Raw genomic sequence first — 26,650 nt, 5'->3', positions numbered from 1 at the left:
TTCTCCTGCCTCAGACTCCTTAGTGGTTGGGACCACAGGCATACACCACACGCCCAGCTAATTTTTGTGTTGTAGACATGGAGTTTTGCCACGTTGCCTAGGCTGCCTTCTGTATTTTTTTAAACACTGAGCTCTGGGTAGGGAGTGGAGGAGTGGGAATGAGTTAGTAACCTGAAATCCTTTCAGCTTGCATCTCTTGGCATGGTCTCACAAGCCGGCCCAAGGGTGATTAGGGCCCCAGTATTCTCAGTGTGGTCCACCCAAGGTAGAGCCTTCTTTAAGCAAGTGAGGGTTGGGCAAAAGATGGGAATCTCCACTTCTCAACTGCAGTCTTTCGGAACTTAGCCACAGCAGCAGGCACTGGGGAGCCGGATGAGAGATGCTGATGCCCTGCTCTTCCTGGGAAGGAAGCCCTCTAACTGAAGCAGGATGGAGAAGGAACTCTGTATTTCTGGCTGCAGCAATCTGGAGTGGAGTCAGCCTCACTGAATTGTGAGGTTGGAAGGAGGGATTGATCTTGGTTCAAGTAATCTCTCTTGTGGAATTTGTGTAGGCGTTTCTTCATTTGCCCTTTGCCGTTAGGACCATTTGTAGAGGCTTTAAGTGGTTGTTTTTAATAATTTTCACTGGGGAGGTCGGTAGAGCTTCTCATTCTGTGATGCCAAAAGTCCTTGTTTGACTTCTTGTTTATCTCTTACAGATTGGTCAGGCTTTTGCATATTCCCCAGTTTAAATCCCAAAGGGACCTATTATGCTTCTCTTGTCTGTTAGCGCAATCTGTATTGGGCCCATTGAGCTCTTTCATCTCATGGAGTTTCCTCTATGTGTGTATGGGTGAGGACCTCCGGGTCCTGCCTGTGGCCACACCTCCAGAGAGAGCAGCCTTGTGTTGCTTTCCTGAACAAGAGATTTTTAGCAAGCCAGTTGTGGATATTTGGGGGCATGCCTGTATATTAACAGGACATTTAGCATCTTGGTTACTGGGCATTAAATGAAATGCTAGTAACACATCCTCCCCATCATTGATGACCAAAAACAGCCCCTCGAATTTCCCACTAACCCCTTGGGTGAAGACCCAGAGCCGCCCTTGGGTTGAAAACACTGAAATGGACAAATGAGGTGTAATAAACATAAGAAAGGAAACAAATACTCAACAATGTAGAAAATGAGTGATTAAACTGTAAATAGAACATTTATAAAAATGGCAATGCAGCTATTGGAATTGCTTTCAAAGAATATTTAGTGACATGGAGAATTGAACATGTTACTTGTGATGCAGGATTTTTTTGGAGAGTGCCACTTCCGGTTGGCAGGAAACCTCTGGGGTCAGCAGTGCCCCTGCTTGGGCCTTGCTGGGCTCTGGGCTCACTTGGATTTGCCTGGACTCACCCTGCCCACTCGGCCTGGCAGGCTGCACTTGGTTTTTGCTACCGGCCTCTGCAGGCAAGACAGGTATGGAATGGCAAGGGGTGTGTGAATGAGTGAGTGCAGGGTCTGGTTACAGCACACAGCCAGGCGGGTCAGCTGCTGCAGCGGGCGGGCAGCTCCAGGCACCGACACAGGCGCTGGCTCCGTGTGAGGCTGCAGCTGGACACAGTGTGCCGCAGCAATTTCCATAGAAGGCACCGGTGTCCAGACGAGGGGGATGTGGTGGTGCCTGAAAACTCGGAGATGCCAGGAACTGCAGAGCCCCAAGGATGTCACAGCTCAGTTCCCACTGCCAAGGGCTTGGTGAGCAGGGGCATATTACAACCCTGTTTTGGAGAGTCTCGAGGTCTGGGCTCTCAAGAAGCACTACAGCTCTTATTTGTTCCTGCTGCCCACGGCGTTGGTGAACGGTGGTATGCCATGCCCAGCGACTTTTTCTCCCCCATTGCTGGGTAAGCGGGAGGGAGGGGTACAGTGTTAGACACCCCTTTTTGCATCCTCCGTTTGGCGGGTCCCAAGTGCTTTTCCTGCATCCAAGAAGAATGAGGTTACACGGACAACCGAGAGTGAGCAGGGTAGGGAAGAGTTTTATTGAGTGACGGAACAGCTATCAGCAGCAAGGGGACTTGAAGTGGGCAGCCCCTATCCAAAGGTGGGTTGTCCCCAATGTGTGGCTAACTCTGGGGTTTTTATAGGCTCAGAATTGGGGAGTATGGGCTGTAGGTAGCCTTGGGAAAGGCAACATTTGATTAGTTAAAAATTAGCATTATTCAGAAAGAACCACTCAGGAAAGAGCAGGCAAACGGGAATAAAGGTTCTCATTCCGGTCAGGTGCTTTAGCAGCTCAGTTTTCAGGGTTTAAGCTGTCTTTGGCTTGAAGGTCACATTTCACCAGGGACCCACCCCTATCTGCCTAGGAATTTGTCTGCTTCCTGCTGTTATTATTTGAAAGATACAGGCTATTATTGTGATTCTAGGTCCTAGTTTAATTTTTTTAAAGTAAATTTACACATAGAAGAGATTGAAAGGACTAAAATGTAAATGATGGTGATCTTTGGGTGTGATTTGCATTCGTCTTATTTCTGCAGTGCTCATTAATGTTTCAAATAAAAAAGAAAATAATTTGGTAGAATACTATGCCATTTTATATGGTAACCCATTTTTATAAGCATGCAAGAGCTAACTCAAAATGTACTAAAAAATTCAAGATTTAGAAGAACCTTGCGAAGAACCCTTTCATGTGAATAAAGATAAACCTTTCTTTACTAGCTGTTTTTTTTTCTGTTTTTATCTTTATATTCCCTTACTAAAAAATTATAACAATTAGGTATCAAATTGTCTTTTCCTAATAGATTAGTTGGAAGCATACATGGAAAGATAGTTTCTTAAATTTGAAGAAAAGGTATTGCAGTTTAGATTTCTCAATCCAGAAGCCTATAGAAGTTTTACACATCTTTCTTTGAATATTTTGTATTCCCAATTACCCCGTACCTCATGTGCAGCCTGGATAGTTGACATTTTTTTCTCTGTCCCCAACTGTGTTATTATATGGTTTCCAAATCAAGTTAATTAAACCTTTTTTTTGTTTTTTATTTTTTTTGAGACACAGTCTCACTCTGTCACCCAGGCTGGAATGCAGTGGTGTGATCTTGGCTGACTGCAACCTCTGCTTCCTGGGTTCAAGCAATTCTCTTGCCTCAGCATCCTGAGTAGCTGGGACTACAGGCATGCGCCACCACACCCAGCTACTTTTTGTATTTTTAGTAGAGACAGGGTTTCACCCTATTGGCCAGGCTGGTCTTGAACTCCTGACCTCAGGTGATCCACCCACCTTGCGCTCCCAAAGTGCTGGGTTTTATGGGTGTGAGCCATGGTGCCCCACCAGATAATTAAATCTTTAGATTGGAATGCATTTCCCAAAAAATTGGCACTCTTGCTTAAGTTTATATAATGTGTGATAATTTATTATTCATGTCTTTCAATAAACATTTTTGAATGTTTATTGTTTACTAGGCATAGCAATGCAAACTTAAAACTTTAAGGTATCCATGTGGGTGCGGCAGACCTATAAATAGGTGACTACTATATAGTGCGTCATTGTAGAAAGGATACATACCAAGCACTGAGAGGAAGGGAGGATGGGCTTAGTAGCCAAGATATTTCAGCTGACAGAAGAATGAGAGACATTGCCAGTTGGAGAAACGGGTTAGGGGTGGCGATAGGGGTGGTGGTAATTCTGTCTAGCTAGAAGAGCAACAGGTACAGGGCCTAACATTAAGAAGGACTTGATATATTTCAGGAATGATTGTTGTGGCTAGAAAATGGAATAGCTTAATGGAAGGTAATGCTGAATAATTAAGTTTGGGTTAGATGGCTTCACACCTTTTGTGGTAGGACAGATAGGGAAGAAGGGGGAAAACTCTGTAAAAATCTTTTCGAATAGTAATCACTGGAAATGTAACTTTTTAATAAAGCAATTTGAGCACCAAGTGAGGGGTGGCCGTCAAATGTGACCTAGTTGTAACTAGTTGCCAGTTCTAGTTTTTGTTATTTTTACCATATATTCTTTTAGACAGTATTTTTGCCAATTAGCTGTGTGGTTTTGATTCAGCTGGTTTCTGTTTCATGGAAAATGTATCAAAGGAAATGCTTATCTTAACATCCAGAAGCCTGTAGATTTTATCTATATATAGAAGTACCCTCCTGAGCGTCCCACAGGAAAAAATGGAGTGTGAGACATTGAGGAAGATGTTGTTTGGGAATGGAACCTGGCTTCTCATGGTTCTCTGACTGTAAGCAAAGCACAGTGGGCCCAGCCATCTGCCCTTGAAGTCAGTGACAACTCCTTTAGCTCCAACATTACTTGAATTGAGTAAAAGAAAAAGTCTGCTCTTGTTTGGATCTTTCCACCAGGAGGTTGTGTTAGTATAAGGAAAGCATCCTTATGGGGGAGTACATCAAAACAACTAGAAGATTTGTCTTGGCCATTGCTGTCCTATTTCTTATTAGTTCTTTTGATTCTGTCTACATTTTCCTGTTTTAGTTTTCAGTCTTTGTCTTTGATTCTAATAATGTTTAATGCAAACATTATTTTCCATTTATTTTATGTTAAGCATTGCTTGTGGGGTTTCTTCATTTTAGTGAGTGTATTTTGAGTGTCTTTTTTATGCTGCAGGTAAAAGATACATTTTTACAGAATAGCCTCTGATCTTAAGGTCAGTGTATCAGATAAATGTAAATAAATGTGTAAATCACCTTTCAGTGAAGTGTGAGCGTACAAGATGCCATGGGGATATGAAGGGAGGGAATGGCTAACCAGGTCAGCAGACGTCACAGGATGTATTTGAGCTGAGTCTTGAAGGGGTGAATGTTTTGTAATTAATAATTAATGAGATTTTGTTACTGATGGTGCATAACATTTATTGAATATTCACAGGCTCTGTGCTAACGGCTTTGCATGCTTTTAGTCCTCAGAACTGCCCTCTACGGTATAGATAGTATTCCTAATTCCATCAGATCAAGGACATGGAAGCTTTGAAGAGTTAGGAAAATGTCCTTTGATCACATAGTAGAAAATAGCAGAGCTGGGGCTTGGACCTCAGGTCTTTCTGACTCTAAATTCCACAGCCTTAACTGTCACATTATGTTGCACAAAGTCCATCCATTCTACCTAGGGAGAAAGATGGAAGAGACTTCATGGGGCGAGTATTTTTGGCAAGTTTTTAGGCACGAAAAAGACAAGGTAGAAGAAAGATATTCTTGGTAAAGGGAACAGCATTTGTAAAGGCGCAAAGTTAGTGGTTCCACTCTGCTGGAACTGGAGTAGAATTTCTAAAATGTGGTCAGAATCATGTGGACCACATGTCAAAATTCAGATTCTGTGACACCTTTCCCAGATACACTGAATTAATATCTGGAGGTGAGAAGCACAAAAGTTTGTATGGTTTTCTCCAAAGTTCCCCAAGTGATTCTTAAGCATACTGAAGTTTGGGAACTGCTGGTGTAACACATAGGGTTGATGGTGAGTGGAAAGAAGTGAGTCTAAAGAGGTAGGCAAGAGTTTGCATCATTATTATAAAATCTTAAACTTGGTTGGGAGGCCAAGGCGGAAGGATCACTTGAGGCCAGGCATTTGAGAACAGCCTGGGCAACACAGACTGTCTCTACAAAAAAAAAAAAAATTATCCGGACGTGGTGGCGTGTGCTTGTAGTCTCAGCTACTTGGGAGACTGAGGCAGGATGATCTCTTGGGCCCAGGAGTTCAAGGCTATACTGAGCTATGGTTATGCTACTGCACTTCAGCCTGGGTGACAGAGTGATACCTTGTCTCAAAAAGACAAAACAAACCAAACAAACAAAAAACAAGCTTTGTGTAGAATTTTTTTTTCTGGTATTCATCAGGAGTGCCTTTGTTTCTGACTCTTATTCTAAGATCAACCAACTTTTGATAGACAGGGGACACAAGGGACATTCTGGTTTATAGCTTCATTATATTAAGTGTGTGCTTGGGAGTTTCTCAGAGTGTTGCAACACTCCAGGAACTACATTGGATTGACAGCATTATGTATTTTACTGCAGGGTTTCTCAGATTCTTTCATGCTCATTAAACTGATACGCATTGACAAAGTCCAGTATGATAGTTTCAGCTATATCTTCTGGAACTAAGGTCCCGTGAAACATGTTTTTGAAAATGGTCCTATAGATATTTCCTCATGGAATGTACTGTGTGGTTTAGTGTTGAGCATTTTACCAGTTTATAATGGTAGAGTAGTATGCAACATCAAGTACTTTGAGTTTGACACTTCTCACCAGTAAAGAAGAAACAAAGTGTCCTGAGTTATTTGGGTCTATACACGTTTCCATTTGACGATATAATACTTTGAAATTTGAATACTTTACAAATTATTATTTGATTTATAGCAGTTTTATTTACTTTGCAGTTTAAGAATGTCAGTTATCTCTCTGTGTATTGTGGCCCTGGTCATAAGAAGTGTGGTTATTCTTTGTAGACTGAGATAAACAAGATTGTTTATTATGATGGATAACCAGTGATTTATAACTGCAGTGTGAATGATGGCTAAGAAGGAGGTATGAGGCATTATCGATGGCTTTTTTTTTTTTTTTTTTTTTTTTGAGATGGAGTGTTGCTCTGTCACATAGGCTGGAGTGCAGTGGCACGATCTTGGCTCACTGCAACCTCCGCTTCCTGGGTTCAAGTGATTCTCCTGCCTCAGCCTCTCAAGTAGCTGGGACTACAGGAGTGCGCCACCACACTCAGCTAATTTTTTGCATTTTTCGTAGAGACAGGGTTTCACCATGTTAGGCAGGATGGTCTCAATCTCCTGACCTCGTGATCTGCCCACCTCGGCCTCCCAAAGTGCTGGGATTACAGGCGTGAGCCACTGCGCCCGGCGGCATTATAGATGTTTCTAAAGCATCTAAGGACCTTCTGAGTGCTCAATTTCTTTTACCATTACAACTAGGAAATGTGTTACATTATTTTAGAAATGACATTAAATGTCAGTTTCAACTGTTGGTTTGTTGTACTCATCTGACTTTTAAAAAACTGTCTTTTGGATTTTTTTTAAGCTTGCAATTTAATTGCCAAAACCACTCTAAAAACTTTGGATATTGTTTTGATAACTTTTAAGCTTAACTGTATAATTTCCAGCATACTCGTCCCAAATTCTGTGGTGGTGTTGTCTAAGTGTATTCTTTAGCTCGAGTCTATTAAACTAGTACTTCTTTACTGTAGTGATTTCTCCCCTTTTTTGCCCTGTCATGCCATACATAATGCTATGTTTTCGTGAAACTCATAAAAAATTCATGAGGATTCCTAAATTTTACAATCATTGTCTTATGCAGTGTCCTTGTAAGGGTTTGTTTTGGAATGCTACACCATGTGTCAGGAAATCTGGGGTAGAGTGTAGCGGGTGAGTTTTGGATGACTGCCCAGTGTCTCTCACTTCTTTGGGAGTGACTCCCAGTGCTGTGCCCCGATCCAGCTGTAACTGATTGAGTCACAGTTTCTAATATTGCCTTGGCCAGTTAAGTCATCTCTCTTGGGGATTTATAATTTAGGTTCTAGACAGGGTATAGCTGAGTCATGTTACTGATGGTACTCTAGTAAAATGATCCTTGAGTTCCCTTTTCTAAGCTCTCTGTGCTGCGTTGGTACTTAACCTTCCCAAGTGTTTAGTCATTCAACTGACTTTGATCCTGAGAAGATTGTTCTTTTTTTCTGGACTTAGCTAGAGATGATTTCTGTAGTTTCAACTAAAATAAATCAAGTCACACATAGAAATGGTGTTAGAGTTATGTGATGGATATATCATGGAGAGCATTCCAAAAGCCAATTATAATTTTCCTTTTTGCCTCCTGCTTTAATTGCCTCTGCTGGTACTGTATGCCTCTCCCCACCCTCCCGTCTTAACTCAGCCATCACAAACTGCATGCAAACATGCCTGTTGTCTGCACACCTTTTTTTTGCAGCTCAGTTTCATATAGATGCACTTCCAGTACACTTTTGAAATATCATATACATACTTTGTGAATAGTGCATGTCACACTATACTGTTACAGTATGCTTGGCTGGCTCCTCATCAGACAGCAGCTCTTAAGGTCAGGCCCTGTGACATACTCCGCCTGGATTCTTGGTGTCTTGCACGTAGTAGACATGAAATACATTCTTGTTGGATTAATTTTTCCTCACCTTATGTTATTCCCACTTAAGGCCTTTATTACTCATTTAACAAATACACGTTGAGTATCCCTTATCCAAAATGCTTCAAATCAGAAGTGTTTTGGATTTAGAATTTTTTCGAGTTTTGGAATATTTACTTATACAGAGTGAGCTATTTTGGCGATGGAACCCAAGTCTAAACACGAAATTCATGTGTCTTATATACATAGCTGGAAGGTAATTTTACACATTATTTTAAATAATTTTTCACATGAAACAAAGTTTGTGTTGGGTGCTTATGTGTGGAATTTTCCACTTGTGGTGTCATGTCAGTGCTCAAGAAGTTTCAGATTTTGGAGTTGTCTGAATTTTCAGATTAGGAATGCTCGAACTCTACCTAGTGTGTGTATGTTCTGGAGACCATTCTGCACTCTGAGGATACCTCAGGAAAACAAACCAAAATATGTCTGCCTTCCTAGAGCTTACAATCTAGATAGTTAAATTTTCCATCTGCATTCTTTTAAATTATGAAGTGTGGCTAAAGTAAACTTTAGGCAACATACAGACTATTGTACGGTAATTGTAAGATTCTATGATATCTCTCAAGTCCTAATACCGTTTTAATAGATAAGTGCCTGTTTCAGTGGGATAATAGAGCTTGTGACTGACAAGGAATCTAATACAGTACTGTGTTGAGTGCCCAGTGAGAACTCAAGAAAAATGTATTTAGGAATTTTGAAAAGTGTATGATTTTGGAAACTTACCTGAATGTGCTATATTTCAGTGACTGTGTATAGCAATGACTCTTTGCAATGCTGTGCTGTCATAATGGTGATAAAATATTTAAAAACTCTTCAAACATTGGCTTTGTAGGCTATTTTATAATTTTTCATATTCTTTTTGAATTTGTAGACACAGCATACTTGGGTTAGTAAAAGTTTGGGTTTTATGAGAACATTTTCAAGCCATTTATCTTGTCATTGACAAGAATAATCTTGTCACTTAACTGTTTCATAGCATGATGTTGGGCATATATATTATTAAAGGCTCTTTGGTCCTTGAAAATTGGTCTGTGGTAGGTTCACATAGCTTAAGTCATATATCTAACAAGAAATATTTGGCTCAGTAAATTTTTAAGAGGGTATACTCAAACACGGAAATACTTTCACTTTTTAAGCTAGAATATTATTGCCATGTTATTTAAAGTTGAGCTACCAGATGGGAGAAAAAATTCACCGGATCCTAAAATACTTGTTAGTATTTTGGCATGTTTAATTTTGTATATTTTTCTCTGCATTTTAAAGCCATAGCTATAATATGCACATATCAAGTTTGTACCCCAGGGCATGTTTTCAGAGTAATTATTTCAAGTAACATTATGTGTTGGTATAGTTAGATGAATCATGTTCTCCCTAAAACTTAAGCTTTCTTGTTTCTAGGGTTACTAGACACAGGACCGTGACTACTGTAAGCCTCAATTTTGTTATCATGAGAAGTACCATTATGAGGAGTAAATGAACTAACAGGAGAGAGCCTGTTGTGGTATTGGCTCTTAGTGGGTACTTAGGAAATGTTAACTTCTCCTTTCTTTGTTTGCTTAAATTATCTTGGGAGAAGGTGCCCATATGTTATTTGACCCTTTAAATAAAATTAAATTTTATAGTTCTTTTCCCTTAAATAATCTTAACCTTATAAAACCCAAGAATGTTCCTGTGTAAAAGAACTTGGTTACATGTTTGCTTGTATTTCTTTGAAAAATAGAGTTATTTATTTTTATTTATTTATTTTTATTTTTGACAGTCTCACTCTGTCACCCAGGCTGGAGTGCGATGGTGCAATCTCAGCTCACTGCAACCTCCGCCTCCCAGGTTCAAGTGATTCTCCTGCCTCAGCCTCCCTAGTAGCTGGGATTACAGGTGTCCACCACCACGCCCAGCTAATTTTTGTATTTTTAATAGAGACAGGGTTTCACCATGTTGGCCGGGCTGGTCTCGAACTCCTGACCTCAGGTGATCCACCACCTCGGCCTCCCAAAAGGTGTGAGCCACCTTGTCCAGCCTAGAGTTATATTTTTACAAAACAGAAGTATGTATGAGAAAATTCGCCTTTTAAAAAAGAAAAAATCTAGCTCTTCACGGTCAGTTTTCTGTAGTAATCTGAGGGCATGCTTTACAAATCTGTTTTGATGAAGGCTGGTTATATTTCCCCATTTGGGGATCCAAATAAAACCATTTCACTGATTGGCTTTCTGTGGGGGTGTTTCTATATGGGTATAGGACAAGAATTCTCCATTTAGGTGCACATAATCCTGTATTTTAAAAAAATCACAGAAAAAATTTAATGTTTTATTATTAATGGTTTTTTTTTTTTTGCACTTTCCTAATTTTTTCTCACTTTATTTTTCAGAATGAAACTAGTGATCGAGAAGATGGCCTCCCCAAAGGACATCATGTGACAGACTCTGAGAACGATGAGCCCTTAAATCTTAATGCTAGTGACTCTGAAAGTGAGGAGCTTCACAGGCAAAAGGACAGCGACTCTGAATCTGAGGAACGTGCAGAGCCTCCTGCAAGCGATTCTGAAAATGAGGATGTCAATCAGCATGGGAGCGACTCTGAGAGTGAAGAGACCAGGAAATTACCTGGTAGTGACTCTGAAAATGAGGAACTTCTTAATGGGCATGCAAGTGACTCAGAAAACGAAGATGTTGGGAAGCATCCCGCCAGTGATTCTGAGATTGAGGAGCTCCAGAAGAGTCCTGCTAGTGACTCTGAAACAGAAGATGCTCTAAAACCTCAAATCAGTGACTCTGAGAGTGAGGAACCCCCAAGGCACCAAGCCAGTGACTCCGAAAATGAGGAGCCTCCCAAACCTCGAATGAGTGATTCTGAAAGTGAGGAGCTTCCTAAACCTCAGGTCAGTGATTCAGAAAGTGAGGAACCCCCAAGGCACCAGGCCAGTGACTCTGAAAATGAGGAGCTTCCCAAACCTCGTATCAGTGACTCAGAAAGTGAGGACCCTCCGAGGCACCAGGCCAGTGACTCAGAAAATGAAGAGCTTCCCAAACCCCGAATCAGTGATTCGGAAAGTGAGGATCCCCCAAGGAACCAGGCCAGTGATTCGGAAAATGAGGAGCTACCCAAACCCCGAGTCAGTGACTCTGAGAGTGAGGGGCCTCAGAAGGGGCCTGCCAGTGACTCAGAAACTGAGGATGCGTCCAGACACAAACAGAAGCCAGAGTCAGATGATGACAGCGACAGGGAGAATAAGGGAGAGGATACAGAAATGCAGAATGACTCCTTCCATTCAGACAGCCATATGGACAGAAAAAAGTTTCACAGTTCTGATAGTGAGGAGGAAGAACACAAAAAGCAAAAAATGGACAGTGATGAAGATGAAAAAGAGGGTGAGGAGGAGAAAGTAGCGAAGAGAAAAGCTGCTGTGCTTTCTGATAGTGAAGATGAAGAGAAAGCATGTAAGGAGTTACCTTGGGCTGTTTATCAATGGCTTTATTCATTGTCTAAGCTTGTAACTGTGGAACATTGTATCCTCTTGGTATGTCAGATCTGTGTTCTGTTATTCAGCTTAATATTCTAAAATATCAGTAGGACACTCATTTCCCCTGGTTATCATTAGCTAAGCTTAATAGTAAGTTTCCTTGGAGTTCTATTAGCACATATTAATCTCTGACTGCCTCAAAGTGATAAACCACATGTCAATAGGAATATAAAATACTGTTTTTTTTTTTTAAAACTGGAAGAGGTAATGTTTCAAAGAAATACGTTTACATAAAAACCCCTAACTGTATTAATTGTTAGCTGTGGGTCTCTTTGACACTTAGTTCACTAGATCCCATCCAAACAGTAACAGCTCCCACAGGTACATCTCTTCATTTGTTAAACATTGTTGAATATTCAGATACAGGGAAGCTTTGAGAGGATTCTATTTAGAGACACCATCTCTCTCCAGAGTGTTTCAGTCTCTGCTATCTAAGACTCCATTTGCACAGATAGTATTACTTGTCTACTTTTTTATGAAACTTATCTTTTTTGGAAAAGACATATTTCATTATAACCTCACAGTTCTTATAGGAGAAGGAAAAGGTACCAGACATGCTGTCAATTTGTTAAGGGAGATGAGAAATTTCAAACTGACCAGCAATGATAGAGGAACATGGAGACTATTCCTAGAAAGAAATATGTAGTCCTTTTTAGTTCAGTTACTACTAGGCAACATAGAAAGGATGCCAGTTTTGCCCATCAATCTAGTTTTAATTTTCTCGATTTCCCAAAAGGAAAGGTGGCTGCTTTTATATTGATGATATCTTTCTTCATCTTTTGGCCAGTTTTTCTTAAGCAAAATAACAGATAATTTGTAAGATGACTCTGAATGAGCCATTTAGTTATTTTAAAAATTCTAAACCATGTGTCAGGAGGCCCTCTGATTTTATTTTATTTATTTATTTATTTATTTATTTATTTATTTATTTTTGCTGTATACTGCCATCTTAAAGCACCTGTTATGCTTAGTAATACAATGGCTGTGATAAAATAAAATTAATGATGATTTTCTTTTTCAACAGCAGCAAAGAAGAGTCGTGTTGTCTCTGATGCAGATGACTCTGACAGTGATGCTGTATCAGACAAGTCAGGCAAAAGAGAGAAGACCATAGCATCTGACAGTGAGGAAGAAGCTGGGAAAGAATTGTCTGATAAGAAAAATGAAGAGAAGGATCTGTTTGGGAGTGACAGTGAGTCAGGCAATGAAGAAGAGTAAGTGACAGTATAACATGAGTTTTCAGGGGTTCTTAATTAGGCAGTAGAGAGGGGTCTGTGTTATAATACAATATGTCCTGCCTAATTGCATGTCTTTGGGGATTTAGTATTTTAGTTCCTGAACTGAACACACTACAATGTGGGTGAATCTCAGAATTCATCTCAGAATTAACATGTTAAGTGAAAGAAAGCAAAGAGGACATATATGATTCCATTTACATGAAGTTCAGTAGGCAAAATTTATCTGTGGTGTTGGAAGTCAAGGTGGCAGTTGTTTCTAGGATGTTGATATTGGGGACCAGCTAGAAGGGGCCATGAGAGGACTTTCTGGGGAGGCTACATGAGTGTATAGGGTGCTGGTTACATGAGTGTATATATTTGTTAAAACTCATTGAACTGAACACTGAAGATCTGCACATTTTACTGTACATAAATTCTATTTTTTAAAAAATGGTTCCTATGCAAATGAGGATAAAGCAAATGAATGTTTTTACATTTGTCTACTTTCTAGAAATCTTATTGCAGACATATTTGGAGAATCTGGTGATGAAGAGGAAGAAGAATTTACAGTAAGTATAAGATGGAAATATTTCCTCCTTGATTGTGCTTTTTTTTGGTGTTTTTATGGCAGTGATACCATTATAGATGATTCTAATAAGTAGGAATAAACAATTATGATGTATTCAAGATAAAAATCTAGAAGAGGGATTCAGGAAGTAAAATGAAAGCGTATATACAAAGACATAAAAGGAAGCTAATGGGCAAAATTGAATTAAGGGGGAAGGGACACTTTGAGACAAAGAAAGTCACTTTATAATGCTAAAGGGCAAGATTCACAATAATTAGGGAACTTCCGATTTTCACAGTGGCATTCTAGGTGATTTGGACTAACCCCTCTGCCAAGCACAACTAGAAAAGCTAGACAAAAATATATAGAAATCTGCTCATTATCTAGGAACAAAGTAGCAAAGAATTACTAAGCCAAGAGAAACCTAAAGTGGTAATTCAGTGTTTAGAAGTGCTTTTTCTGTGGGGGTGTTTGCCTGTCAGGCTGAGAGGCTACTCATATTTTTGACAGCCTCAAGGCTTGGGGACAAAATTTAGAGTTCGGGGCCTATTGAGGTTAGGGGGCTTTGTAAACCCCATACCCTGGATTGAGACTTCAGAGAGCAGCACCATAAGATTTAGGGGGAAATAAAATAGCCTTTGCTCAGATTTTAGGCCATCTTTGAATCTTCTGGCAGACTAGAGAATCTCAGTCTCAGAAATAAGATTACAGTGGTTTAAGTTTTTCATATGTACTTATTATACACAAAAATAACATTAAAAGGTAACAGTAATGATGACAATAGTAATAGACTTAGGGCTCTAGATATAGGAATTTTAGATACCACCTTAAATATGTTCAGGGAGATAAGAAACAAGATTCAAAATGTCAGAGCAAACAAAAAGAAGGCAAATTTGGAAAAGAACCAAGTAGAAATTTTAGAACTATAAAAATACAGTAACTGAAATTAAAAACTCGATGTACAGGTAGGTAGGTGCAAGTAGCTGGTAGTCCCAGTTACTCGGGGGGCTGAGGCTTGGGGGTAGCTGGAGCCCAGAAGTTCGAAACCAGCCAGGGTAAAATAGTGAGGCCCTGTTTGAAAAGAAAAATGGGGTGGGAGGGGGTGGGGAAAACAGAAAACTTAGTGGATGAGTTTAGCATCAGATTAGACATACTTGAAAATAAGTGAACTGGAAGATGGCTTAGAAGGAGAGATCTGGAATGAAGCTTCAAGATACAGTATTACAGAAGAAAGGAAAAGATATAGACTATACATCGAAAAGTTTTCGCAAAAATTGGAATAATGAAAGGAGAGGGAAAGTTACATGTATAGCAGAAGCAGTATTTTAAAAGGAAATGATACCTAAACCATAGATTCTCGAAGTTGTACACATTGCAAGGAAGATAAACAAAAAGAAATCTACACCTAACTACATCGTAATAAAACTGCAAGAAACCAACGAAAATAGGAAAGTCTAAAAGCAGCCACAAGGGAAAAAAAATACGTTCAGAAAAGTAATGATTAGACTAACAGCTGACTTCACAACAGAAACAATAGAATCTACTAACTGCAAACCTAGAATTTTGTTAAATTTAGCAAAAATACTTTCCAGGAATGAAGATGAAATAAGGAGGGAATTAATTAACAGTGTACCAGCTGAAGGAAATACAGAAGGAAAGAAATGCAAGAAAGAATGATCTCAGATGGAAGGTTAGAGATGCAGGAGGGAGAAAAGAGCAACAAAAGTATGTGTATAAGTCTAAATGAGTATTGACTATACAAAATGAAATGTATTTAATGTGGAATATATATAAAATTAAAACATGACAGCAGTAAATTGGGAGCATACGTGGAATTGAAGTGCTCATAGGCCTTTGCAAATGTGTATGAATGTACATTAGTAAACTGATAAGTTAGGGTGCATGTTGTAGTCTCTAAAGTGACCACTAACAAGACTAAAATGGAATGTGTAATTTCTAAACTAATAGGGGGGGAAAGTGGAACAACTAGAACTAATCAGTCGAAAATGAGCAGGAAAAGAGAAAGAACTATAGGACAAGGGACAATTAGAAAGTATTACATGGTAAAATAGTAGATTTAAATTTTGATAATATCAGAAATTAAATTAAATGTAAATAGTAAATATTCCAGTTAAAGGACAACAATTGCCAGACAGGATCTTAAAAACCAGCCATATACTGATGTCAAGAGATTTGTCTGAAACAGAAGGTAAAGCTGAAAATAAAGGTGTATGAAAGGGGACTTTGTGTAAACATGGACCAAAAGAAAATTGTTGTGGTATCTATAATATTATAAAAGAGGGAGGTAGACATTAAGGCAAAAAAAAGTACTTAAGATAAAGAGGTCACTTTATATCGATAAAAAGATTTTAAAATTGTTTGCGCCTAATAACATGGCTTTATAGATATATGCACACTTAAAAATCAAAAATTGATAGAACTGAAAAGAGAAATGGACAAGTCCATAATCTAAGAGAAATGTAACTGACAGAAGAAGCAGATCGAAAAAACCAGGGAACAGTCTCTATATAATCCACGTATAATCCTCTTTGGCAATTACGAATGTTAAAAATACCTTTCATTTTGTTACTTCTTTTTCACTTTCTTAATGGAGTCTTTCTTTAAAAATTTTTTTAGAATATCTTAAATTCATTCCGTTAACATGGAGTCTTCTGATGAACAAAAGTGCTTAATTTTAACATAGGATCAAATTTACCAATCTTTTTCTTTATGGTGAAGACTGAATTCTGCCTAAGAATTTTTGCCTGTCCCCAAGGTCGTGAAGATACAAGTTATCTTCTAGAAGCTTGATTATTCAGTCTTTCACATTTAATTGTATAATTCACCTAGAATTGGTTTCGTATGTGGTATGAGGTAAGAGTCAAGATTTTTTTCCTTATTTGAAGTATCCAGTTGACCCAGCACCATTTATTGAAAAGATCATCCTTTCCTACTATTCTGTAGTGCCATCTTTGTCATATATCAAGTGTCTGTATATATTTTCCAATCTGTTTGCCGCTCAGAAACTTAAACCCTGCTTAAATAGTTCTTGGGTCAAAAAAAAAACAATACTTATTTTTAACCAATGCAATAGAGAGTGAAGGTAGATGAATTTAGAATCTAATTCAGGACAATAGTGAAATAAGAAAGTAAACCTGAGAAAAATATAAAGGAAGAATTCATTCAACAAATGTTTCAGAGACTGGACACTGCCTTCATGGAGCTCATACTTAGTTAAGCACCATATTGTAAGAATAAGGTATACTTACCTGTTTTGGAGACTTAACATCAACTTGGTTATAGTTTCAGTTCAGTTAGAAAAAAATTGTACTAGGTGAACCATTGAGAAAGCCTCTAAGTATAACACAAAAGGTAGACACTATAAAGAAAAGACAGGCCATTTCATTTACATAAAAATGAAAAATTGGCCGGGCGCGGTGGCTCACGCCTGTAATCCCAGCACTTTGGGAGGCCGAGGTGGGCGGCTCACAAGGTCAGGAGATCGAGACCATCCTGGCTAACGTGGTGAAACCCCATCTCTACTAAAAATACGAAAAATTAGCTGGGCATGGTGGCAGGCGCCTGTAGTCCCAGCTACTCAGAAGGCTGAGGCAGGAGAATGGCATGAACCCGGGAGGTGGAGCTTGCAGTGAGCCGAGATCACGCCACTGCACTCTGGCCTGGGCGACACAGTGAGACTCCGTCTCAAAAAAAAAAAAAGAAAAAGAAAAATTATGCCTGGCAAATATTAGCATAAACAAAATCAGACTGTACAAATGTGGGGATTGTACAGTTCCTGTCACTTGTAGGGGGCTATATCTAATTTTCAAAGAGATTTTACATACTGATAAGAAAAAGATGAACAGTCCAGCAAAAAATGGGCATAGAATGTTCAGAGTTCACAGAGAAAGAATGACACATGGCTTTGTAAATGGAAAAAATGCCCAACGTTACCCCCATAGTAAGAAAATGCAAATAAACCTACCCTGAGATTTGTTTTTCCATCCAGAGATTGGTGGGTATCAATGTTTGATATCTTTGCTGTAGTAGTGAGTACGTAGGGAAACAGGAGTCCTCATACTTGCTGGAGAGATAATTGGTATAACCTCTGTGGAATACAGTTTGGCAAGTATTTCGCAATTTCATATACATAAAACTAAATGTGACTAGGCAAATAAGTAAACAAATTGTGGTTGCAGCCATATTGTGAAATAGTCTAAAGCCTTGAAAAAAATGACAAGACTTAATACTGACATGGATTGGCCTCTAGATTCTTTTCTTAAATTTGGAAGATGCAGAGCATTATCCTGTACCCACTCTGAATAGTATGCTTCAGTTTGTGTAATAAGAGAGGATATGAAGTATGTGTAGAAGTGCTTATATAAACAGACTATTTCTGGAAGGAAACACAAGAAACCTAGTAACACTAGTGGCTGGAGAGGGACCTTTTGTTATGTACCTTTTGATATCTATTGAATTTTTGTTCTTTGTGAATGAATTACTTTAAAAATGCAAAATATTAAGAACACTTAATACAGAAGAAAATCTGTAAGGAGGTTGTGATAATTTTGCATTTAGGGTTTTAACCAAGAAGATCTGGAAGAAGAAAAAGGTGAAACACAGGTAAAAGAAGCAGAAGATTCAGATTCTGATGATAACATAAAGAGAGGAAAACAGTAAGTTTGTTTTTAAGGAATTTGTTAAAGAGAAGTTTAAAAATCAAGGTAGAGACTATTAAACTCTCTTTTGTTTTTCATTTTGGTTCCTGATTAAGTTTAGGAGTGGGTCTATTCCTGTTTTTCTCCATTTACGGTGTTGTCAGTGAATTACCTGCTGTTGTTACTTGTCTTTCATTTACCCTGTGCTCAGATGTCTTACTTTGTGGAGTTGTATTTATATGGCACCAGACTTAATTTATGGCTCACCAAGTAAACTCTTATGAAAAATAACCTAATTTTAAAAATACCTTTTTGAGAGACAAGCTGATGTTGTGGGGCAGGGGAAATAGTCTAACATCTTAACTACAAAATATTACTTGACCATATTTCACTTACTTTAGTTGAGCTAGTTGGAATCTATGTTCAGAAAAATCTGATATCTTAAAAGATGTCATACGGTAATAGAAGGATTAGTTACTGTTTTCAGTCGTAAAGATGCTTTTAAAAAATAGTTTCATTTTTAATTCCTAGTGGCATGCAGTAATTAAACTGAATGAGTTTGGCAGTACTTTTGGAAATTGAATTGATAGGATAGTGGCAGACAATAACTTAACTCCCTCTTTTTTAAGTGTAATGATTCTGATGAAAGCCATAAAGGTTTGAGGCGCTTAGCAAGCCTGTAGTTTTCCATGTGTATCTCTCATTATGTTTTGAGAGTTATACTTCCTATCACTGAAAAGCAGCAGTTTATTTTTCATTTTTTCTACTCATGCTATATAAGACCACAACATTCAAATAATTGAACACCTTCCTAGTCCAAGAAAGGGCAGTGCCACTAAAGCTGAATGAATCCCCTGCATTGGAACTTAAAATGTACTTTCTCAAACTGATAGATGCAAGTGTGAATATAGTGCATGAAAAGTTCCGGGCTATTAGCGATTTATATGTGTATATATAACAGGGTAGTACAGGAATTGAAATAAAGTCTAGGATCAACCGTTCTTTTAATAGCAGGTTCTAAGTACAGTCATGCGTCGCTTAACAACAGGGATATATTCTGAAAAATGTGTCATTAGGTGATTTTGTTGTTGTATCAATATCATAGTATTATACAAACCTACATGGTATTGCCTACTACCCACCTAGGCTGTATGGTAAAACCTATCGCACCTAGGGTACAAACCTGTGCAGCATGTTATTGTACTGAATGCTGTAGGCAGTGGTAACACAATGGTATTTGTGTATCTAAACATAGAAAAGTTGCAGTTAAAATACAATATAGTTGGACGTGGTGGCTTATGCCTGTAATCTCAACAGTTTGGGAGGCTGAGGCAGGGGGATCACTTGAGGCCAGGAGTTCAAGACAAGCCTGGGTGACATATAGTGAGGCCCTCCCTGTCTCTACAAAACATTTAAAAAATTAGCCAGGCATGTTGTGTGGGCCTGTAGTCTCAACTATTCAGGAGGCTAAGGTGGAAGGATGAGCCCAGGAGTTTGAGGCTACGGTGAACTATGATTGTGCCACCGCACTCCAGCCTGGGTGACAGAGCAACACCCCAACTCTTTAAAAAATGTGTGTGTGTGTGTGTGTGTGTGTGTGTGTGTGTATGATAAAATATGGTACACCTGTTTAGAGTACTTGCCATGAATGAAAGCAGGACTGGAATTTGGTCTGGGTGAGTGATGAGTGAATGTGAAGGCCTGGGACATTACTGTACACTACCATAGGCTTTATAAACACTGTATGCTTAGGCTACACTAAATTTATAAAAAATATTTTTTTCTTCAATAAAAAGTTAACCTTAGCTTACTGGATGGCCACCGTCGTATTTGCAGTCCGTCATTGACCGAAACATCGTTATGCGGCGCATGACTGTATTTGCACTTTTAAAAGAAGGTAGCACTTCATTGAGTTAGAATTAAGAAATTTGGTGTTCTTAATTGTTGTGAAAGTAAATGTGTATTTAAAAGACAACTTGTATTTCACTTGCTTTTGTTTACTGCTTTAGTATGGACTTTCTGTCAGATTTTGAGATGATGTTGCAGCGAAAAAAGAGCATGAGTGGCAAGCGCAGACGGAACCGCGATGGTGGCACCTTTATTAGTGATGCAGACGACGTCGTGAGTGCCATGATCGTCAAGATGAATGAAGCTGCTGAGGTGAGCTGGGTCGCTTCTAGGTTCACCTTTTTTTCCTCCCACTGAGTTTATTGGATGCCCTTTTTTTGATACTTAACCCTTAAACTACAATTAAGATGCTTTGCTTTTTGTAATAAAGCATTTACTGTTCTCAATTTTAATCATGGAAATATTTTAATTTTTTAGTCACACGTTTAGAAAAAGTGAAAATATGAGGTATTCAGTAAAATGAAACGTTTTAGGTGAATGGCTTTGCTAGTTTCATGGGAAATGGTTTTGTTCTCAGATTTGGCTAGTTCACCACAAAGTTTAGTTTCTTCATATATAAAAGGTGTTACAAATTCATGTGTCGTTCTCTTGCTCCTGATCAAGACACGGCTTCTTTCATTGCATTTTAAAAATCTGCTCAACTTATAAAAATTGGCCCAGTAGTATGTTTAAAAAACAAGTTCAGATCTTTTGGAGACACTTGTTGAGAGTTCAGCATGGATTCAATGATCTGTGTCTAGGATTTCTTTCAAAACAATTCAAGAATGGAGGGAAAGTAGCTAAAAGAAGACTAGCTATGTGTATTCAGTTGTTGAAATATATGCAACAGGTATATTATTCTATATTTGTAGAATTTGAAATTTTTCATAATTTAAAAAAATAGAAAAAACTGCCCAAGTAATACTGAAACTCTTCTTTGATATAGTATATTCCAATATCATATAACCTCACACCTGGAAAATTGTTCCTAATATAATAAACCAGAATTTCCCAGTTTTAATTTGTACCTTTAATGAACTCTGAAAATTTGACAGTTATGCTAATGTTCTACATTAAAATTGTTTCTCTCAATTTGTAGTTGTTAAAGGCAATTATTCTAATAGTTTTTTGGGTTTGACTGACATAGACAGATACAGAGCTTGGTGCTCTGCAGAAGATCCATCTTAAATTATTCTTTCTTGTAGGAAAAATTGTTTCTTTGAAAAACTGTTATTTTAAGGTTCAGAATTACAGTGAATTCAATATTAATAAAAAGTACTGTTTTAAAAAAAAATCTTTATTTTTTTTCTGAATAGGAAGACAGACAGTTGAACAATCAAAAAAAGCCAGCACTGAAAAAATTAACTTTACTGCCTGCTGTAGTTATGCACCTTAAGAAGTAAGTATTTTGTTTTCTTTAAAATGTCTTTTTCCTTTTCATGGAATGATAATTCAAATGATGTACTGGTGTTCTAGGAATATTAAATAATGATAGACTTCTATCGGTTCACAGAAAGATAATGAATAAAATTTCCTAAATTATATTTCTTCATAAATTTTTATTAAGCCTTGATGCCTGGTGCAAACAGAACAAATAAAAAATTGATACTAACGAAAGAAAAACTTGGAAACTACTAATTTTGTGTTTTTTTGTTTTGTTTTTGTTTTTTTGGTAAAGACAGGATCTTGCTATGTTGCCCAGGCTTGTCTTGAACTCCTGGGCTTAAGTAATCCTCCCACCTCATCCTCTCAAAGTGCTGGAATTACAGACATGAGCCACTGCACCTGGCCACTAATTTTGTTCTTTATAGACAGTTTTTGGTCTGGTAAAATTGCATCTGTTTTCTCCGTGTGATGGAAAATAGTAAATCTTGGAAGATCCTACCTGAAGGCTGCATTGTACAAGGCTTATATGACTCTAATGTGTCACAATTATTGATCCTTCTGAAGTAATGATGCCCTTTTTGAGTAGATCCTTGTTTCTAACTTTTTTCATTGATTTGCTTTTTTTTTTTTTTTTTTTTTAATTAGAGACAGGATCTCGCTGTGTTGCCCAGGCTGGTCTCGAACTCCTGGGCTCAGCCGATCTTCCCGTCTCAACACCCCAAAGGCAAAGTACTGGAATGGGATTACAGGTGTGAGCCACCACACCGGGCCCTGATTTGCTTATATTTCTGAGCAACCTTGCTTTCTCTTTGAACTAAGCCACAGCCTACTTTTGATGACTGAGGAAATGTATTGGTGCATCAGTGAGCTGCCACCAGCATGGCCTAGAGCATCTGTAACTAGAAAATTTCTCCCTCTATTCTAACAGGGGAAACTATCTGTGGCAGGTTTTATGTATATAATGTTATCTTTTCTATTAACATAACTGATTCCAGTACATAAAATGGAATTTAAGTATTATTTTATTGAGTTTTTTTTTTTTTTTTTTGTCCTGCCAGTGGAGTGCTAGTCTCATTGGTGTCCTGCAGAGAAGAGCAAATCTGGGTTCACCACCATGTAAAACTGTTCAAGAATCACTATTTTGATAGATTGAACGTTTTTTTTTTTTAGTTGAAAAGATTGGAGTTAATTGTTCTTACTGTCTGTACCATTCATATCAGCATTAATTTATCTTGTGTAACTTGAGTTTGTTTTGTTTTCAGCAAATCATCTTTGTCAAGTATATGCATTTCTGGAAAATAAGAACTAAATGTCATACTGCTTTCGAAACCAGAATGGTGTTCAGTAAATGTCAAATTTATATGAGTAACGCTTTAAAAGCAGTTTTTAGAAACATCACTAAATATGTAAGAAAAGTCGGAAGATACAGTAGAACCAAGGTTCACAGAATTTTTAAAAATTATTGTTACTGCAGGCAGGACCTTAAAGAAACATTCATTGACAGTGGTGTGATGTCTGCCATCAAAGAATGGCTCTCACCTCTACCAGATAGGAGTTTGCCTGCACTCAAGATCCGGGAGGAGCTGCTGAAGATCCTGCAAGAGGTTAGAGGCAGATAATCTGACTGTTCTTTATTAATTATCTAATGTGGTCTGTATGGTCATAACCTGTGTAGTTTACAGTGTTTTTATATGTTATCTCTGCTACAGCCTGCCAGAAGAGGGGTTGGAAAAAAGGAACATATCTAATAAAATGAGCGTGAAAGGGAAGACCTTATAAAACTTCATGTAACTATCGCATTGAAGGGAAAAAATCTTAGAGTAGCTGTAATGTGTCTGAGAAGAGTAGTACAGTAGTGGGCAAGTTCCAGGGAGAAATGTGACGCAGAATGAACACCAAATTCAGAATCATATGAACTTGCATTTGAATCTTGAGCTGGGCCACCTTACGTAGTTGTGACACCTTGGGTAAGCTATTTAACTTCTGAAGGAATTCCCAAGGAAACCTCCTATGCCACGCACTGTGCCAGGTGCTTTATATATGTATTGATTCGTTTTTTCCTCACAGTAAACTGAGAAGGTAGGTGTATTATTTCCATTTTACAGATGAGGGAATTAAGATGCAGAGAAGTTAAACGACTCGTCAAGGTCACATAGCTAGAAGGTGGCTGTGCTTGGGTTCAGTCTTAGGTCTATTGGATTCTGAGGCCTGTGCTGGCTCCTGTATTAAACTGCTAACCTCTGAGTACGCTTGGTTCATACTTTCTCACATTGTTAGGTTTTACTTCAACTCAGCTGTAATACTGAGCTCTCAACCTCTTTTTGTTTTTTTTTTTTTTGAGACGGAGTTTTGCTTCTGGTGCCCAGGCTGGAGTGCAGTGGCACCACCTCGGCTCACTTCAACCTCCGCTTCCTAGGTTCAAGCGATTCTCCTGCCTCAGCCTCCCGAGTAGCTGGGATTACAGGCGCCTGCCTCCACACCTGGCTAATTTTTGTATTTTTAGTAGAGATGGGTTTCACCACATGTTGGCCAGGCTGGTCTTGAACTCTTGACCTCAGGTGATCCACCCGCCTCAGCCTCCCAAAGTGCTGGGATTACAGGCGTGAGCCACCATGCCTGGCCTGAACTCTGAACTTTTGATGTGGACACAAAGTATCTTTGTGTTCTATGTCTGTAGATCCTGAAAATGGAATTTTTTATTTGTTCTGTTGTGAATGTGCCAGGTCTCTAGAATAGACTAGCAAGACCCCCAGCTTCCGAGTGATTAATATGTGTGTATGTGTTTATGTTCCCCAGCTGCCTAGTGTGAGCCAGGAGACCCTGAAGCATAGTGGGATTGGACGAGCAGTGATGTATCTCTATAAACACCCCAAGGAGTCAAGGTCTAACAAGGACATGGCAGGGAAATTAATCAGTATGTAAATTTTCCTTTTTGTTTGTTGTGTTTATGTGTATAGATAAGAGAGAGATGCGTATATATAAAAGCTGTATTTTTACCAGTATTTGTTTTAAACGAGTCGGTAAAGTGGAATAGAAATTTTTGAATAACTTCTTACAGGTACTAGCATTTTCTCTTAGACTTTAAAAAAAAACCTCAATATAATTAAGTATGCTATTCAGTATTAAAAATAGCAAGTAAGAGGCTGGGTGTGGTGGCTTAACGCCTGTAATCCCAGCACTTTGGGAGGCTTAGGTGGGCGGATCACAAGGTCAGGAGATCGAGACCATCCTAGCTAACACGATGAAACCCCATCTCTACTAAAAATACAAAAAATTAGCCGGGCATGGTGGTATACACGAGTAGTCCCAGCTACTCGGGAGGCTGAGGCAGGAGAATCACTTGAACCCGGGAGGCGGAGGTTGCAGTGAGCCGAGATCGCGCCACTGCACTCCAGCCTGGGCAACAAGAGCGAGACTCCGTCTCAAAAAAAAAAAAATTGCAAGTAAAAAGTATGCATTTTCTAGTCATGGGTCGAGAGCATGGAGAAAGAGAGGGGTTAGATTGCAGGCCATGGAGTTGATATTACCTGGGTTCAGATCATGAATCCACCACCTACCTTACTGCATTTCCTTAGCTAGTGATTTGTGCTCTGTAAAGTTGAGATAATTATGTGTTTTCTTTTGGGTGACTTTAAAGATTAAATGAGAGGTTGTGTCTAAAGCACGGTGCTTAGCACATAGTAAGTACTCAAGAAACAGCCATTGTTGTTGTTACTTGCACAATGGTCTTCAAAACCTTTTTGCATGTTCTTATTTAATGATGCCAGAGAAATCCAGAGAAGTCTAAACCAAAATTTATGTAATCAAGCGCCATGTTTGTGAAATTCTTCAGTTTTACGAATGAAACCCGTGTTTGTTTTTGTTGTCCTCCTTAACTCTTCCTGTCCTCCATGTTGAAAAGGAATTTTTAGAACTTCAAGGCTAGATTGAAAAAGTAACTACTACGTTCGAATAGAATAATTATTTTTCTTTTGAATTGTTAAGTTTATCAAAAGCTTTTAGAGAAATGTAAATTTCTTCTATAAACCAGAGATATACTACCATCTTTGATCTTGTCAGTAAACTGCAGCTTACTGCCTGTTAAGTAATAAACTTTTGGTGCTTTTATGCAGTAGTTTGCAACTTTATTTTTTTGCCCTAGACTGAGAAAAGCAGAATATCCCCACTGGTTTCCATGACTTACTACAGCAGTGATTCTGAATCCAGAAGTGGGGTCAATGGGGTGGTTTTAAAAGATACGTGGACCCCCTGAGAATCCCTGCTTCCTTCTTTGTGTGACAGCACCCATGTTCGGTCTATAAAGGTCCTTTCTTGTTTTTATAGTGTATTAAATGTAGCAGTAAGCTACATTATGTCTTAGAACAAAGACATCAGTTGGCTCCTGGACTTTGACTGACTGAACAGTGGCATATACTTTCTTTCATGGTCATTGTAGCAGCTATGTTAGACTTAATGAAGTACAAAGTCTCCACCCGCACTATTAAACTGTAATTTTTAAAGGTACAGACCATTTTGTAAGGTAGTTGTAAAGGAGTTTGTTCTGGGTTAGGATAAGAAAGCAGAATTTCAAGACTTTTTTATTTCCAGTAGCGTAAACTTAGAAATTAGTCTGCCTTTTAAAATAAATAAATAAAAATTTTAAATAAATGTCTTTTATGAAATGTCAATCCAGCTAATTGTTGACTATTAAAGTGTATCACATGTTACTTTCTTTAAATCTCTGTGGTGATCTTTTACATTAAATTTTCTGAATCAGCCAGAGTCAGTCAGTACACTGGCATTATGCTTTGTTTATCCTATAAATTACTCTGAAATAATGGACTCTTCAAGGAAAGAATATTCTAAATGTCTAGAATATCCCCTCACACTGGGGTGCAATTATTTGAAAAAAATGGAAATGCAATTTTATGGACAAAATAATTGATTTTTTTCTTACTACAGATGAGTGGTCTAGGCCTATATTTGGTCTTACCTCAAACTACAAAGGAATGACAAGAGAAGAAAGGGAGCAGAGAGATCTAGAACAGATGCCTCAACGACGAAGAATGAACAGGTATGAGGGAACAGGTATGAGTAAGTGGAATACACGTTATTGTTGCAGTAACTCAGTTTTAAGTAAGATCATTAGGAAGCCTGCAAGATGATAGGATTTCCTTTCCTCTCAGCTTGATATGTGTACATAATTCATAATATCCTTTTAGTTTAAATGTGATAGTGTATAGTGAGGGTCCTGTCCTCCTAACCAGACCTTTCTGGGTCAGTTTGT

At 38.4% G+C, this 26,650-nt stretch overlaps 1 protein-coding gene across 9 annotated transcripts in view, besides 1 other annotated feature; it reads left to right on the top strand.

Annotated features, from left to right (window-relative positions):
* Positions 1 to 26,650, top strand: part of IWS1 (interacts with SUPT6H, CTD assembly factor 1) — a 46,525-nt gene that overhangs the window by 11,068 nt on the left and 8,807 nt on the right. For 5 of the 9 annotated variants that reach the window (XM_005263707.4, XM_006712626.4, XM_017004468.3 and 2 more), the window contains exons 3-11: positions 10,517 to 11,585; positions 12,693 to 12,882; positions 13,397 to 13,454; positions 18,032 to 18,129; positions 20,121 to 20,271; positions 21,315 to 21,397; positions 22,859 to 22,988; positions 24,181 to 24,298; positions 26,326 to 26,437. In XM_005263707.4, coding sequence (XP_005263764.1) covers positions 10,517 to 11,585; positions 12,693 to 12,882; positions 13,397 to 13,454; positions 18,032 to 18,129; positions 20,121 to 20,271; positions 21,315 to 21,397; positions 22,859 to 22,988; positions 24,181 to 24,298; positions 26,326 to 26,437 — 2,009 coding nt within the window. Of the gene's footprint in view, positions 1 to 10,516; positions 11,586 to 12,692; positions 12,883 to 13,396; positions 13,455 to 18,031; positions 18,130 to 20,120; positions 20,273 to 21,314; positions 21,398 to 22,858; positions 22,989 to 24,180; positions 24,299 to 26,325; positions 26,452 to 26,650 lie in introns of those variants that run through there. The other 4 variants (XM_047444948.1, XM_011511450.2, XR_001738828.2 and 1 more) reach the window with 3 other exon arrangements.
* Positions 1,022 to 1,604: an enhancer, noted in NCBI's record as "H3K4me1 hESC enhancer chr2:128272241-128272823 (GRCh37/hg19 assembly coordinates)". NCBI's record gives its function as "activates a minimal SCP1, AML or CMV promoter by ChIP-STARR-seq in primed H9 embryonic stem cells {active_cell/tissue: H9 hESC(primed)}" and the evidence as "EXISTENCE:reporter gene assay evidence [ECO:0000049][PMID:30033119]".

This window comes from Homo sapiens, chromosome 2 (genome assembly GCF_000001405.40).
Source record: "Homo sapiens chromosome 2, GRCh38.p14 Primary Assembly".
NCBI classification, from domain to species: domain Eukaryota; kingdom Metazoa; phylum Chordata; class Mammalia; order Primates; family Hominidae; genus Homo; species Homo sapiens.
Note: the sequence above shows the minus strand (reverse complement) of the source record. Positions and strands in the feature narration are given on the sequence as shown.